The 16,379-nt window shown below is 36.4% G+C and overlaps 1 protein-coding gene across 2 annotated transcripts in view; it reads left to right on the forward strand.

Annotated features, from left to right (window-relative positions):
- Positions 1-16,379, forward strand: part of USP14 (ubiquitin specific peptidase 14) — a 56,073-nt gene that overhangs the window by 28,854 nt on the left and 10,840 nt on the right. For both annotated transcript variants that reach the window (NM_005151.4, NM_001037334.2), the window contains 7 exons: positions 5,432-5,490; positions 9,227-9,357; positions 10,206-10,286; positions 10,637-10,722; positions 11,792-11,906; positions 15,470-15,535; positions 15,688-15,780. In NM_005151.4, coding sequence (NP_005142.1) covers positions 5,432-5,490; positions 9,227-9,357; positions 10,206-10,286; positions 10,637-10,722; positions 11,792-11,906; positions 15,470-15,535; positions 15,688-15,780 — 631 coding nt within the window. The remainder of the gene's footprint in view (positions 1-5,431; positions 5,491-9,226; positions 9,358-10,205; positions 10,287-10,636; positions 10,723-11,791; positions 11,907-15,469; positions 15,536-15,687; positions 15,781-16,379) is intronic.

Below are 16,379 nucleotides of genomic sequence, written 5' to 3' on the forward strand. Positions count from 1 at the left end.
TGAACTTCATAGTCATGTTCAATACGCCTTTCTCCCTCTAAATGGATATATAGTGGGAGTGTCAGCCTTTGGGATTTTGACCATAATGGCTTTAAGTTTGGGATAAATTGACATTTTTGCAATATTTAGCTTCCCCATCCAGGAATATAGGCTGTCTCCCCATTGTTTCAGGTCTTATTTGACTTTCAGTAAGATGGATTTTTTTCACGTGTTTTATTTCCAACTGTTTTGAATTTTTGTATTTTGTAATGTTAGATGAATTTTCCCTTGATCATTTTGTTATTGGCCCTGCTAGCTGATGGGAAGAAATCAGGAGTACTAATTTCAAATATCAGATTTCCATGGTTCCAAGATATACTTTCCCCTAATATTGAAATAGTCCTTATATTCTATGAAAATTTTAATGTAGTTTTTATTTACCTTGAAAACACATTTATTTACCCTGAAAACACATTTTAGTTATGATGATATTTATGATTATGATTTATGATATATTTATGAGGAAATAAGGCATATTTTCTATTAGTATTTGGATTTTCTAAATAGATAATCAAATCCATTACTCAGGTTATTTTTGTCTGTTTCAGGTAGTTTACTTCATGTTTCTTTCGTGCTTCACTGGCTAGAACTTTTAACACAATGTTAAATAGTAGATGGTTGTGGAATTCTCTCTTGTTTTTGATTTTAATAGGACTGTTGTATTTTAGGGTTAAATATTGATCTTGGGTTTGGTGGAAATGTTCTTTTTTTCTTTTTTCTTTTTTTCTCCTTGTCTTCTTCCCCTCAGGTTTGGTGGAAATATTCTTAAGAATGTTAAGAAAGTATCCCTCCATTTGTTTACTGGAGGTTTTTTAAAAATAAGAAATACATGTTAAAATTATCAAATGTTGTTTGTTGACCTAGTACTAAGATTTTTCTCACTGGATCTATTTGTGATACATTATGTTAATAGTTAGCCTAATAGTAGACTATATTCCTGATACATTCGTATTCTTTCAATATATAGCGCTGAATTTAATTTGCTGGAACATTTTAAAAGGATTTTTTGGGGTCATTTGTTAGTAAGACTGATTTATAGCATTCTGTCTCCCTCTGGCTTTTTTTTTTTTTTTTTTCCTTTGTGAGGGTTTGGTGTTACAGTTATGCTAGCTCTATGTCTATCTTTTCCTGGAACTTTTATTTTCTTTCATGTTTTTATAGGACTGATCTGTTGTTGAAAGCCTTGCCCATGAAATTGTCTGCACTCAGCTTTTTTGGGGTATTTTATTTTATTTTATTTTATTTTGAGACAGAGTCTCGCTGTGTTGCCCAGGCTGGAGTGCAGTGGCATGATCTCGGCTCACTGCAACCTCCGCCTCCTGGGTTCGAGCGATTCTCCTGCCTCAGCCTCCCAAGTAGCTGGGATTACAGGCACCCGCCACTATGCCCAGCTAATTTTTTGTATTTTTAGTAGAGACGTGGTTTCACCATGTTGGCCAGGATGGTCTTGAACTCCTGACCTCAGGTGATCCCCCGGCTTTGGCCTCCCAAAGTGCTGGGATTACAGGCGTGAGCCACCGTGCTTGGCCTTTGGGGTATTTTAAATGTACTTATTCTCTTCTAAAGTCAGTTTTGGTAATTTATATTTTCCTACAAAATTGTCCTGTCTTTAAATTATTTCAGCTTAAGAGTTATTCTACTATTGGACCTGTATGGTTTTTTTTTTGTATTTTTATTTCTTATTTGTTATATTTGTGTTTTCCTCCCTTGATTTTCTTGCTAGAGATTTGTATTTTAGTTTTCAAAGAATTGGCTATTAGATTTGTTCATTCAATTTTTTGAGTTGTCTGATTCATCCTACTTTTGTTTGTATTAATTTTTTCTTATTTCTGTTTACCTTAGGCTTGTTTTATTGTCTATTTTCTAACTTAAAAGTTTCATATGTGGATTGTTTACTTACCCTTGTGTAGTAATGAAAGCATTTAGTTCTGAGATTTTGCTTGTTCTCTATTTGTTAGATGAGGCTGTTCAAATGTTGACAAAAGCCACTAGAAAGTCTCTTATCTTTTCCTTTTAGCTCAGTTTTGTTTGTTTTTTCTTTGTTTTTTTTTTGAGAAGGAGTCTCACTCTGCCTCCAGACTGGAGTGCAGTGGCACAATCTCGGCTCACTGCAGCCTCCGCCTCCTGGGTTCAAGTGATTCTCCTACCACAGCCTCCTGAGTAGCTGGGACTACAGGCGCGTGTCACAACGCCCAGCTAGTTTTTGTATTTTTATTAGAGACAGGGTTTCATCATGTTGGCCAGGATGGTCTCGATCTCTTGACCTCGTGATCCACCTGCCTCGGCCTCCCAAGTGCTGGGATTACAGGCAAGAGCCACCATGCCTGGCGCGTTTATTTTTGATTATGGAAGTATAACATGCCAGAGTATACAAATTATAAGTGTACAACTCAATGAATTGTCCCAGGGTGAACACATCCATATACCCAAAATAAAGGCAGAACCCTTCTAGCACTCTAAAAATCCCCTCACAGATCTTAATCACTAACACCGTTTATGTTTCCCAAATTGGAAATACTATCCTGACTTCTAATCTCATAGATCAATTTTACCAGTTTTGAACTCTATGAACAGAAATGTACAAATTGGGCCCATTTGTCTGGCTGATGACTGGGTAATGGGTCTGGCTCATGATGTTTAGTGTATCCATGTTCTGTGTATTGGTGGTTCGTTTATATTCATGCTATATAGTATAGTATTCCGTTGTGTCCTGTACTACCAAGTTATTATCCATTCTTCTGTTGATGAATATTTGGTTTATGTTCAGTTTTTGGTGATTATGAAAAAATATACTCTGAATATTCTAGTACATTTTTGGGCACATGCATTTGTTTCTGTTGGGTATATATGAGTATGTATGCATATGCACAAAATATATATGAGTGAAACTGCTGGGTCATAAAAGGATTTATATATTCAGTTTTAGTATGTTTTGCCAACCAGTTTCAAAAACGGAGGTACCAATTCATATTTTCATTAGCATTATATGTGCTTTCCATCTGTTCCACATCCACCCCCAAGAGTTTAAGCCAAGTTATTTAGCCAGTGGATTTAGAAACACATATATGAAAGCATATGTTATAAATGTACTTTATTTCACTATGGGTAAGGATTGTGGCCTACATAACTTTTGGTTTTTGGAAATTTGAGTTTGTCTTTTTGATCTGATGTATGATTGAATATTTCATAGGGACTAGAAAAGTCAAAATGTCCTCTCTTTGTAGGTGTCAAAGTATAATAGACATTAGGTTAATTTTATTATGTTCTGATTTTCTATATCATTACTTTTTATTTATTGACTTGACAGAGATAAGGAAAGATTCTCAGTACTTTTGACTGTAAAACCTCTCAGTATTTCTGTCAGTTTCCTTTTATTTTCTAAGTTTTTCTTTATAAACTTCAGTGTTAATGTTATTTGGCTTAATGGATGGTTTTACATGAATTAGGAATTACATTTTATTGCTCTAATATGGGAATTTTTTTTTGGATATTAAATTACATATGACCTTCCTTAGTTACAAAAAAAAGGTTGATAATTCATTAGTATATCTTTGCCATAAATGTAGAAATAGTTACATATTCATGTTACCCTATAACAAGAAGTAAAATTCAGTAACAGCAGCGATTATATAGCTAATTACATACCCAAGTGATGTTCAGGGTATGTCTGCTATATTAGTACTTAATTTTAATTTCAAAAATGCCTTTTAAGAAGTTGCTAAAATGTCTTAACAGGGAAATGTAATGATTTTCAGGTTTTTAAAAATGAACACACATAATTCAGGCATTATTGTGAATTATTGTGTATTGAAAAATTAAGAAAATTCGTTGAGTCACATCAGTTTCCGAAAGATGCAAACAAATGAAAAAGGGAAAAACAAAATCCTTCAATTGAGTACAATTTAACACAATACTCTCTGTGATTTCTTTCATACTACTTAACATAAGCATAGAGGTTTTGCTTTTTAAATTGAGATATAATTCACATCTAGTGAAATGCATATATCTTAAGTGTTTGGTTTGATCAGTTTTGACAAATGCAAATTCTCTGTAATCCATTTGCCTATCAAAGTATAGAACATTTCTATCATCTCAGAAAATTTCTTGGGCATGCCTTTTCTCAGTTAATCCTTATCCTCTCCACCCCCTTCCAGCAACTACTGATTTCATATTAGTTTGCACATTCTGAAACGTAAAATAAACGGAATCCTACAGGTCATGCTTTTCTTTTGTTCTGGCTTGTTTCACTCAGTATCTAGCTTGGAGATCCATTCATATTATTACTGACTAGATCAGTAATTCTGATTGCTCCACAATCTTGCCGATATTGGGTGATACTAGTTTTTTTTAAATTTTGATTTTAGTCACTCTAATGGGTGTGTAGTATGTACACATAGTTTAATCATAGTGTATATGCAGTCTCCCTCTCACTTCAGTGTTTGATATTAACTGAATGATAATTTCTGAGCTTTTGTAATAAGACATTGTGTGAGTAATGACTATGGTTTGAATAGTCATTTGAAAAGGAATTTGCATGGCCAGTTTGTTGTACTGTTGTAAATTAAGTGAGGATCATAAAGCTGAAAGTGAATTTAGAAATCATTTAATAGAAGCTTCTCAGTTTACAGATGAGCAAACTGACCTACAACCTTAAGTGACCTATTTAATGATACACAGCAAGCTAATGCTGAATGTAGGTGTATGATTTTTGATTGAATGTTTTTGATCTAATGCTTATTTCTTCCAAGTTATTTCAGAGATTGTGTTATTTTATTTTCTTTGTAATTAATGAATAGTGTTGTTTCACAATACTTTCAGAAAATGTTTGTTTTAGCTGGGTACAGTGGCTCATGCCTGTAATCCCAGCACTTTGGGAGGCCGATGTGGGTGGATCACCTGAGGTCAGGAGTTTGAGACCAGCCTGCCCAACATGGTGAAACCCTGTCTCTACTAGAAATACAAAAATTAGCTGGGCATGATGGTGGACGCCTGTAATCCCAGCTGCTTGGGAGGCTGAGGCAGGAGAAATTGCTTGAACCCAGGAGGTAGAGGTTGCAGTGAGTCAAGATCATGCCATTGCACTCCAACCTGGGCGACAAGAGCAAAACTCTGTCTCAGAAAATAAAAAATAAAATAAAATGTTCGTTTTATATGAGTTTGACAAAGGGAAAGAGCTTAAAGTAGGCTCCATCTAAATTCCCTTTTCAGCATTCCTTTTTTTCTCCATATTTCTGGTCATGCAAGACCAGAAGAGAAGAAAAGGAAAGGTGGGAACAACTCTGAGAAACTTGCAGTTGAGGGTGTCATAAGAACTCCTTTTAACTGGTTTCTTCCCATTTGAGTGTTAGAATGAATTGAATTCTATTGTTTAACTCGGCTTTAATGTTCCTAGGTATGCAGGTGCCTTGAGAGCTTCAGGGGAAATGGCTTCAGCGCAGTATATTACTGCAGGTTTGTATACTAAATATACTACTTTTTGATAGGAGTAAGACATTCTATTTTTCGCTCACAATCCTTTGCAGTTTACAGAATGTCTTTTGTAAAACATCACCTCATTAAGCCTGGAGTGTACATTATACTTAAGTTAAACAACTTGGTACTTATTTTATCGTCCAGATTATAAATCAATGATGTCTGTCGTTTGTGAAAAATAATCTTTGGATTTTTTTGGATTAAATTATAATTTTGGCTTCAGGTTTGATTTGTATAATACATATCTTTGGGGTTGACTCTGGGGATAGCCAGCGACGGGTTTTATCATAATCCATGTATCATTATAAAAGAGGGTCTTAGTGAATATTGGTGTAAAGAAGTGATGTGTGTGAGGAGAAATAGTAATCTTAAAGGATAGAAATAACTGGTTTCTTCATTGCATAAGAGAATATAACCCCCACCTAATTTTGGACATTTTAATACTGTTAAATCTTTGGGTTAGGTCAATAGGGTTTTACAGCCATGCCTTTTTTTTTACTCTCTCTCTAACAGCTTTATTGATATAGTGTACATATCATAAAATCTGCCCATTTAAAGTGTATAATTCATTGTTTTTTAGTTTATCCACAGAGTTGTGCAAATATTACTAAAATGTTAATTTTAGAACATTATCATTCCAAAAAGCAACTTCATAACATCTAGCAGTCACCTCCTTTCCCATTTCTAGCCCTACCCATTTATCTATGTGTTATTTCTCTCTAGATTTGCCTACTCTGGACTTTTACTCTAAATGGAATTAAATAATATGTAGTCTCTTGTGACTGGTGTCTTTCACTTAGTATAATGTTTTCAGGATTCATCCACATTATGGCATGTATCAGTACTTCATTCTTTTTTATTGCTAAATAAGAGTGCCTTGTATGGACAAGCCACATATCATTTATCCATTCATCGTTGGTGGATATTTGGGTTGTTTCTGCTTTTCGACTATTACAAATACTCCTGACAGTCGTGTACAAGTCTTGGTGTGGACAAATGCTTTCATTTCTCTTTGGTATGCATCTAGGAGTGGAGTTAATTACTGGGTCATATGATTACTATATTTAACCTTTTGAGGAACTGCCAGAATTTTCCAAAGGAGTCCCACCGTTTTACATTTCCCCCAGAAGGGTATGAGGGTTCTGATTTCTCTGTCTCCTTACCAGTACTTAGTATTGTATGTCTTTTTGACTATAGCCATCCAAGAGGTATGAAGTGTTATCTCATTGTTGTCAACCATTGATTTTTGATATTATAAACAGGTTTCTTTTGTGTCATTTGCAGTTAGAGAGATTTTACTCTAACTTTTTTTCCTAAAGTAGACTTACTTGTTGAAATGAAGTTTTTAGTGAGAAAGTGTGATCATTTATATCTACTTCATTTGACAGCTCATGTATCTTAGAATAACTTAGAATTTCAGCAGCTTCTGCAGCATCATATATGCGGCTAATAGTATTGATGCGATGAAAAATACTGTTCTTTACATTTTTGCTTCTTGATTTTTTAACTTTTTGTTTTGAAATACATTTAAATTTACAGAAAAGTTGTAAGAATTCACCAGTTACTAACTTTTAGTCGCATTTGGTTTCTCATTTTTCCGTTATGCATGTAATTTTTTTCTGAACCATTTTAGAATAAGGCGCCAGACATCCTGAATATTTCAGTATGTATTTCCTAACAATAAGGACATTCATAACCACAAGACAATTCTTAATTTTCAGAATCTGGGCTGGGTGCGGTGGCTCATGCTTGTAATCCCAGCATTTTGGGAGGCTGAGGCGGGCAGATCACTTAAGGCCAGGGGTTTGAGACCAGCCTGGCCAACATGGCGAAACCCCGTCTCTACTAAAAATGCAAAAATTAGCCGGGTGTGTTGGTGCATGTCTGTAATCCCAGCTACTCGGGAGGCTGAGGCACGAGAATCGCTTGAACCTGGGAGGCAGAGGTTACAGTGAGCTGAGATTGTGTCAGTGTACTCCAGCCTGGGCAACAGACTGAGACACTGTCTCAAAAAACAAACTTTTTTTTAGAATTTGGGAGTTTCACACAGTACCCTAAAATACAGTCTTTATTCAGATTTTGCCAACTGTCCTAGTATTGTCCATTAAAAAAGTTTTTTTTTTTTCCTTCTTCAGGATTCAGTTTAAGATCCCACATTGCATTTAGTTGTTATATCTTATTAGTCTCTTTTAATCTATATTTCTTCTTGACCTTTTTCTTTCAAACTAATGAAATACTTTTGAGATGCTCTGTTGATGGTATATACTAGATCTTAAATCATCTGTTTTTTTGAGTAGTGTATAAAATATTGTTAAAATGTAGGCTTTTATTTAAAAAAATAATTAGCTTGGTAGTGATGCCCAAATTTCAGCCTTCCCTCCAAAAATATTTTTTAAACATTGTGTTCAGTTTTGTTATTCAGGAACATTTTATTGAGCCCCTGCTTTGTGCTAAGATGCTGTATTTGGTGGGTTCAGTCTGTATAATGATGATAGGTGACATTTCACATCTTGGGTATTAATAAAACATACAAGTTGAGATAAGCTAGAGGAAGAGTTTTGCTGTACATGAAGGAGGGCAAGGTATGATCACTAGGAAGTCCGCAGAGGAGAAATGGTTCGAAATCCAAGAGAACAGACTAGTCCATGACTGTGAGATTCATGCTGCTGAGAGGGGTAAGTGGAAAGAAGGTTTTCTGAAGAAGGTAAATTCTTAGTAGTTTTGGTTCTTAGCTGTCCAGTAGAGTCAGCTGTTTAAGGACCCAGATTTAAATCTCCAGGAGTTGAGTAGATGAGAACCAACTATAGGTTTAAAGGGAGGTAAGTTGGGAGAGGTGACCCGCTATCCTGATCTTGGCAGAGTAGCAGAACAATTACATTATGCCTGTTTGTCCCTAAACAGAGGTTATGTGTTCTTTGTACTGAATTAAAACACCCTGCTTTGTTTGGGAAGACAAAGGCTGGCAAGAAGAAAGAGAGAGGGAGGGCTCAGAAGTTGTTTACAGCTAGTGATTGCTTTGTAAGGTCTTCTGGTGAGTTAAGATTTAAAAAGGATTTTTTTTTTTCTTATTGAGAGTCCAACAATTGTCAAAGAGTAGATACACTTAAAAATGTTTAAGCAGCTGGGTGTGGTGGCTCACACCTGTAATCCCAGCACTTTGGGAGGCCGAGGCTGGCGGATCACAAGGTCAGGAGTTCGAGACCAGCCTGGCCAACATGGTGAAACCCTGTCTCTACTAAAAAAAATGCAAAAATTAGCCAGGCATGGTGGCATGCTCCTGTAATCCCAGCTACTCGGGAGGCCCTTCTGTGTTCAAGCAGTTCTCCTGCCTCAGCCTCCCGAATAGCTGGGGTTACAGGCTGAAGTGAGCGGATCATGAGGTCAGGAGTTGGAGACCAGAGCCTGGCCAGCATGGTGAAACCCCATCTCTACTAAAAAAAAAAATACAAAAAATTAGCCGGGAATGGTGGCGTGTGCCTGTAATCCCAGCTACTCTGGAGGCTGAGGCAGGAGAATTGCTTGAACCCAGAAGGCGGAGGTTGCGGTGAGCCGAGATCGCGCCACTGCACTCCAGCCTGGGCAACGGACCAAGACTCCATCTCAAAAAAAAAAAAAATTAAGTAAGTTTTTGTTTGTATTAATTAAAATTAATTTACAGTCGCGTGTATTAAATATGTGACTGTTTTACTAAGGCAATGTTTGCTTTGTCTTTAAGCCCTTAGAGATTTGTTTGATTCCATGGATAAAACTTCTTCCAGTATTCCACCTATTATTCTACTGCAGTTTTTGCACATGGCTTTCCCACAGTTTGCCGAGAAAGGTGAACAAGGACAGTATCTTCAACAGGTAATTAGGGCAAGGTATTTTTCATTCTGTAAATGTAAAACTTAGGTTTCCTACATTTACCGTACTTACTGGAACATAGTTCGAAATATAAACATCAGTCTTCTCTAGTTCATGCCACGGCTGTCTCTTGCCTGGAGCCGCACAGTAGTCTTAACTGATATCTGGCTTCTGCCTTTGCCCCTTTGCAGTTTCTCTACACAGCCCGCAATGTCCTTTTTAAAATGACGATAGGATTATGTTGGCCCCTTGTTCAGTACTCCCTAGTGATTTTCTACCGCAGTCCTAAATCCTCTAGCCCCTGGCTTTCTCTCTGAGTTCATCACTACCACTCTGTCCCTTGCTTGCCTCTCTCCAGCTGCACAGGCTTCCTTAAACCTTTCAAGTGCCCTCTTCCTGCAGGGCCTTTGCTCTTGTTCTTTGGCTGTCAGATAAGTGCAAGACCAGCTCCCTCACCTCCTTCAGGTCTCATGGCTCCAAGGCCAAAGCCTTAGGCTTTCCCTGATGACCTTATTGGAACAGCACACTTCCCTTCCCCTGATCACTTACTGTTTCCATCCTGCTTTTTTTCGCTTCATAACCCTTATCTCTACTTGAATTTTATATATTCACTGCTATTATGCTGAGTATCTAGTACAGTGTTTAGCACAAATTGGAGCTCAGCAGATGTCTGTTGAATGAATAAGCTATTCTAGAATGCTTTATTTTTTGGAAGATCGTATGTCTTATTTGGCTTAATATTTTTAAAGAAGGAAACCACTTTCTTGCCTAGGAGACAGTGATTATTTTGGAAGAACTTTGTAGATCATTCACTGCCAGGATTACTTACTTTGTCTTTTTTTACATTACAGGATGCTAATGAATGTTGGATACAAATGATGCGAGTATTGCAACAGAAATTGGAAGCAATAGAGGATGATTCTGTTAAAGAGGTAATTGAAATATATTTGTGATTATAGACTTTCGTTATACCTTGATTTTTTTTTTTATTTTTTTTCCCCTCAAAGGCTTAAAATAAGTTCCATCTTATAGGTAGATGTGTATTTAAATACTTTAGATGCTCAATCTGTAGTCAGAATTTGGAAGCTTGCATACGACATTTAAATTTAATGTATTATTTATTAAACTTAATTCATTGTTGATTTTTGGTAATGTTTTTTGAAGGATTTTACTGTAAGGGACTACATTTTTAAAAAAATATGTATTACTAAACTGGATTGTGTGGAAGAAAATCTACATTAATATTTATATAAAGTTGGAATTTTTATTTTAATTTTTGCAGACAGACTCCTCATCTGCATCGGCAGCGACACCTTCTAAAAAGAAAAGTTTAATCGATCAGTTCTTCGGTGTTGAGTTTGAAACTACGTATCCTTATGAGCCAAGATATAGACTATACTCATACCTTATTAGAATTGGCATAAATAGCATCATTGGCTGATTGATTGGTGGTGGGTAGAAGAAAAATTCTTCAGAGGTTTTTTTTCTTTGAGACGGAGTTTCGCTCTTGTCGCCCAGGCTGGATTGCAATGGTGTGATCTTGACTCACTGCAACCTCCACCTCCTGGGTTCAAACAGTTCTGCCTCAGCCTCCCAAGTAGCTGGGATTACAGGTGCATGCCACCATACCCAGCTAATTTTTTGTATTTTTAGTAGAGATGGGGTTTCACCCTCTTGGTCAGGCTGGTATTGAACTCCTGACTTTAGTTGATCTACCCACCTTGGCCTCCAGGTGTGAGCCACCGCGCCCAGCCCAGAGGTTTTTATACCTAAAAAAATACAATAATGGAAATTAGGAATTTGGAAAAATATACCTATTGGAGTGATCTTGAAGGATAATGGGATTATTCATTATGTTTTGATTAATATAATTATTTTAAATTTATTTCTTGAAGGATATTTATTATTTTTTCCTAAGAACATCTTTAGCAGAGTCTACCTCATTTTCATTCACCTTATAAAGAATTAATTTCTTATATGTCAAGGTGACTGTTAATAATAACTTTTAAAATAAAAAAAGAATTTTTTAATTTTATAAAAGGGTGTGTATCAACTATACATGAGATTGAACCAGTTAATAAAACATGAATCAGGAAAGTACTGTCTTCTAGGTCATGGTTAGAAAAACTTAGAAACAATTTATGTACCTTTGGGCTTCTAAGACCATTATAAGACCATACTAAATACCAGCTTATAGTTTAGAGTTTATTGCAGTTTATCTTTTAATACACATTTATTACTCATTGTTGTTTCTAGAATTGTTGGTAGCCAAATGAACATTCTTAAGTATGTTGAAATGAATCTTGGGAGACTAAAAGGTTTTAAATGCCAATGAATGATACTATTAATTTTAATGGAATTAGGATAATGTATTATATTCAAGAGTATATAACAAATTGAATACCCGTTGGCATATTCCTTATCTTAGTTTACAAAGCATGAAATGTACAGAATCTGAAGAAGAAGAAGTCACCAAAGGAAAGGAAAATCAACTTCAGCTTAGCTGTTTTATCAATCAGGAAGTCAAGTATCTTTTTACAGGACTTAAATTGGTAAGGACAATCTCAGTCCATCCTTGTTGTTTGTGAATTCCATGTTTGCGAGTAAGCCAAAGTCATTATTCACTGGGCTTTAATGGTCATTTGTAGACATGTGCAGAGCAATACGCATTTTGAGTTGCCCGATACACACAGTCCCATCTGAGGTCAAACAAGTACTTGGCCTTCTTGTTTCAGCTTGGTAAACAAATACCATTTTAGCAGGAATGTTAGAACTGTTGTTTTAAAAAAAAATTTCTGCTTTTTGTTGGTTATTTCACTGTTTAAGATGACCCCCCAAGCACAGGGCTGAGTGCTGTCTAGTGTTTCTAGGTGTGGGAAGGCTGTGATGTGCCTTACTGAGAAAATATACTTGTTAGAGAAGCTTCAGTTGGGCCTGCGTTGCACTGTTGGCTCTGAGTTCAATGTTAATTAATCAACACAATATGTGAAATAAGGTGTCCTTAAACAGAAACACACATAAAACAAGGTTATGTATTGATTGGTTGATGAAAATGTTGTGATCAAAGGCTGGCGGGAATCTAATCCTGTATTTCCCCTAGGAGCAGTGGTTCAGTATTCATTGATTCAGTGCTTGTGGTGACTTTGTAGAACATAATTACCGTGACTAACAAAATCAACTGTATAGTCAGAAATCAAACAAACTTCAACTAGCTCTTCATTTCATAGACAAAAGCATTATTGACATGGTTGCATATGCTAACAAATATTGGGACATCTCACTTTTTAATCACTGGGTGTTCCTGCTTCACACTGTGAAGAAGCACCTAGTGCTTTGTGCTGTACCTTGCTTTATTTTAAAGCACTCAAGAAATGTTTGTTGAATAGTTTACATGTTTGTTAAGATTTTTCCTTAGAGATAGTTGTTTTCATGGGCCCTATAACTTAGCTGAACTGTTAACTTTAAGGAAAATTACTTAATCTAAGCTACTGTTTTCTTACGTGAAAATGAGAGTAACTATAGGGTTGTTTGTGGGTTTGTGCTCTTAACCATTAAGGGTGATCATATAATGTATTGTCTAAACCAGGACACTTTGGTGGAGAGTGAATGAGGGTATGTTAGTAATTATGCAATATAAACTGGGATTTTTCTGTGCAAATCAGGGCATGTAGTCGTTCTGCCATTGCACTGTCTTGCAGTTGAGGCCCTGGAATTTAAAGTAACCTAATTGGCTTTTGGCAGAGCCAGAACTAGAACTTGCTTCTTTCATTATTCAGTTAGTGCTGCTTTTCCAGTGCCATACTAAAGAATACGGACTCACATAAAATGTCAGCTTCCACTCTGCTAATAAGCCCATGGATAAAACATACGGTTTTGCTTGCTGACTTACTAATTTGGTGTGCTTTGGGGATATGTATATCTCTCGAAGGATCTCCCCATTTGAACTGATACCTTTTAATAGTTTTCAAATTATAGTTCATGTGATTCCACTTCAAAAGCACTGATAATTAGGATTGTTTATTTTATTTTATTTTATTTATTTATTTACTTATTTTGAGACGGAGTCTCTCTCTGTCACCCAAGCTGGAGTGCAGTGGCACAATCTCGGCTCACTGCAACCTCTGACTCCCAGGTTCAAGAGATTCTCCTGCCTTAGCCTCCTGAGTAGCTGGGACTACAGGTGCGTGCCACCACACCTGGCTGATTTTTGGTATTTTTGATAGAGACAGGGTTTTGTCATGTTAGCCTGGATGGTCTCAATCTCCTGACCTTGTGATCCGCCCACCTCGGCCTCCCAAAGTGCTGGGATTATAGGAATGAGCCACCGTGCCCAGCCAGGATTATTTATTTTAAAAGTTAGCTTCTTCCTAAACACAGTTGTATGAAAAATAAATGCATGAATAAAAGTTAGCCATTGCAACATCTAGATATTTGAAGAAGGGCCTGGAGGGCAGAATTTTTAAAAATCCTGGTTGATCCTCTTTGCTGTCTCCTCTAACCATGACCAATAAAGAGAAGTCTTGAAGGAAGAAAAGTCAGTGAAAAATGATGAGACATTGGAATAGGTCCTCTGTGCAGAGGCCTAGTTTGGGCAGAGGAGGTGGGTTGATAAACACTGAAGTGGGACATGGATTATGTTGATAAACAAGATGATTTGTTATCTGGGGGCTCTCATCTATAGTTTGGGATAAGGTTGGCAAGGGGAAGGGTTGTTAAAGGGCATAAGAAGAAGAGTGAGTGAGTCACGCTCTGTCTTATGATACCGAGGGGAGAGTTTTGAGCCAGTGTGGATATGAACATGGTGACTTTTAAGAGAAATTCATTTAAAAACACACAAAACTTCTTAACCCCCAGGAGCCAAATCATGTAAGGCATGGTGTGCAAGTTTCAGGATATACCAGCAAATGAAGTCTCAGTGTTAACTGGAGAGTGTGGAGTGGAGTGCTTTGGCAGGGACTCTCCAGGATGGTATTTTCTTCACAATTTTGTAAAAGTATAGGAAAACCGAACATACCCAGAAGGTCTAGATGATAGTGGATTGGTGGTAATAATAAGATTTCACCAGATATACTTTCTTGAAAAACCTGTATTCCTAGAATGTATTTATTTCCTTTATAACTTTTAAGATATTTTATCTTTTGTTCTGATAATTCTTGAGTAATTTGGCTTCGTTTCTCCACTGCTTTGCTGCTGAATAAACTTGGTTAAATGTTAAAAAGCTACTCCACAGTGATTCCTTTTGTAATATGATTAGTAATTTTAAAAAATCAGACTTTAAAATTATACAAGTGTAACATGCTTAAACATTACCAGTAGGTTATTTTAATTCTAATTTCTTTTTTGTTTGTTTTCTTAAAGCAGAGCACATAAGTAGTGCTAATTCTTTCTGTGACATTAGAAATAGTAGTGAATGTTTGTTAAATGTAGAGTATATGCCAAATATTTTACCAGGTTTTCTACATGTACTGACTGTAATTCTAACAATAACACTATAACATTGATTACCACTACCACCTTTTCCAAATGATGCCCAGAGGGATAAATACCGTTTCCACTGTTACACGGGCTGTAAGAAGCAGAAAGGTGATCATGCTGGTTAAGATATGTGCAGCAGCTAAAGGCTTTCCCACATCTGTTAGGTTAACAGAGGTTTCTGTGTTATGACTTTTTTCAAATTTAACAATAATTCATTGGTGCTGATTGGCTTTTATGCATAAAACGTAAAGAACAGGAGTTTCTTGGGCTCTCTTAATTTTCCTCTAGAGTGAATATTCTGATAATAAACAGGAATGACAGCTTTGTTATATAAAATACAATATAAAATTCTCTGAATCTAAGCATCATTTGGGGCATAGCTAAAAAAGAGCAAACAGTATTTACACTCGGAGGAATCCACAACAACGTAAATTATTTGATGCCTTGTAAGAATTGAACAGTATCTAAAAGTCTTCCCATATTGTCATCAAATTGTGTCTCAGTGGTATAAACCCATTGATGTACTGTATATTGCCTCTTAGGTAGTGCTAGTTTTTAAAAGGCTTACTGGTGTGATTCTATATTGCAGAAATAAAATTTTTAAAACTAATGTTTGGTCTTCTGTTATGTTCTTTCTTAGCGACTTCAGGAAGAAATCACCAAACAGTCTCCAACGTTGCAAAGAAATGCCTTGTATATCAAATCTGTAAGTTATGCAGTCCTTTCGAAGCCAAATTCCGCTTCACTGAAATATTTCCAGTTAATTAATTTTATCCAGTCTTAATTTTTACCACCAAATAATTAAAACTTGTATGGTATTTTGATGTAATGGGATTTCTTTACATTTTGTCTCCTCAGTCCAAGATCAGCCGGCTGCCTGCTTACTTGACCATTCAGATGGTTCGATTTTTTTATAAAGAGAAGGAATCTGTGAATGCCAAAGTTCTTAAGGTTAGTAATGAACTTTACTTTGTATAAGAAATGTAATTCTTTGAAGGTAATTGCTAACTCACAATTGCTTTCATTATTCCTTTAGGAATAGTTAAGCTTTCTTTGAAATATTTAGGGGAGCTAATATTAGACAAGTGATTCTTAACTCAGAACGTATATTAGAATTATCTATTGTCTTTTTTATTTTTAACTGTACACACACCTGGCTTCTCCCTCACCCCCAAACATCTGGGTAGGTCTTCGGTGGGGCCTAGGATATTATATTTTTCAAAAGATTCATATACAATTCTGATGGCTCTCCTGCACTACCCAGAAATAGTGCCCTAGACCACGTCCTCAGCTTCAGGGATACTGATTCAGTAGGCTTGGAGATGGGTGTGAGGTAGGGAGTGATAACTCTGCACTATACTCTAGGTGGTTTCTTTCTTTTTTTTTTTGAGACGGAGTCTCGCTCTGTCACCCAGGCTGGAGTGCAGTGGCGCTATCTTGGCTCACTGCAAGCTCTGCCTCCTGGGTTCATGCCATTCTCCAGCCTCAACCTCCCGAGTAGCTGGGACTACAGGCGCCCGCCACCGTGCCCGGCTAATTTTTTTGTATTT

The sequence above is a fragment of the Homo sapiens genome, chromosome 18 (genome assembly GCF_000001405.40).
Source record: "Homo sapiens chromosome 18, GRCh38.p14 Primary Assembly".
NCBI classification, from domain to species: Eukaryota; Metazoa; Chordata; class Mammalia; order Primates; family Hominidae; genus Homo; species Homo sapiens.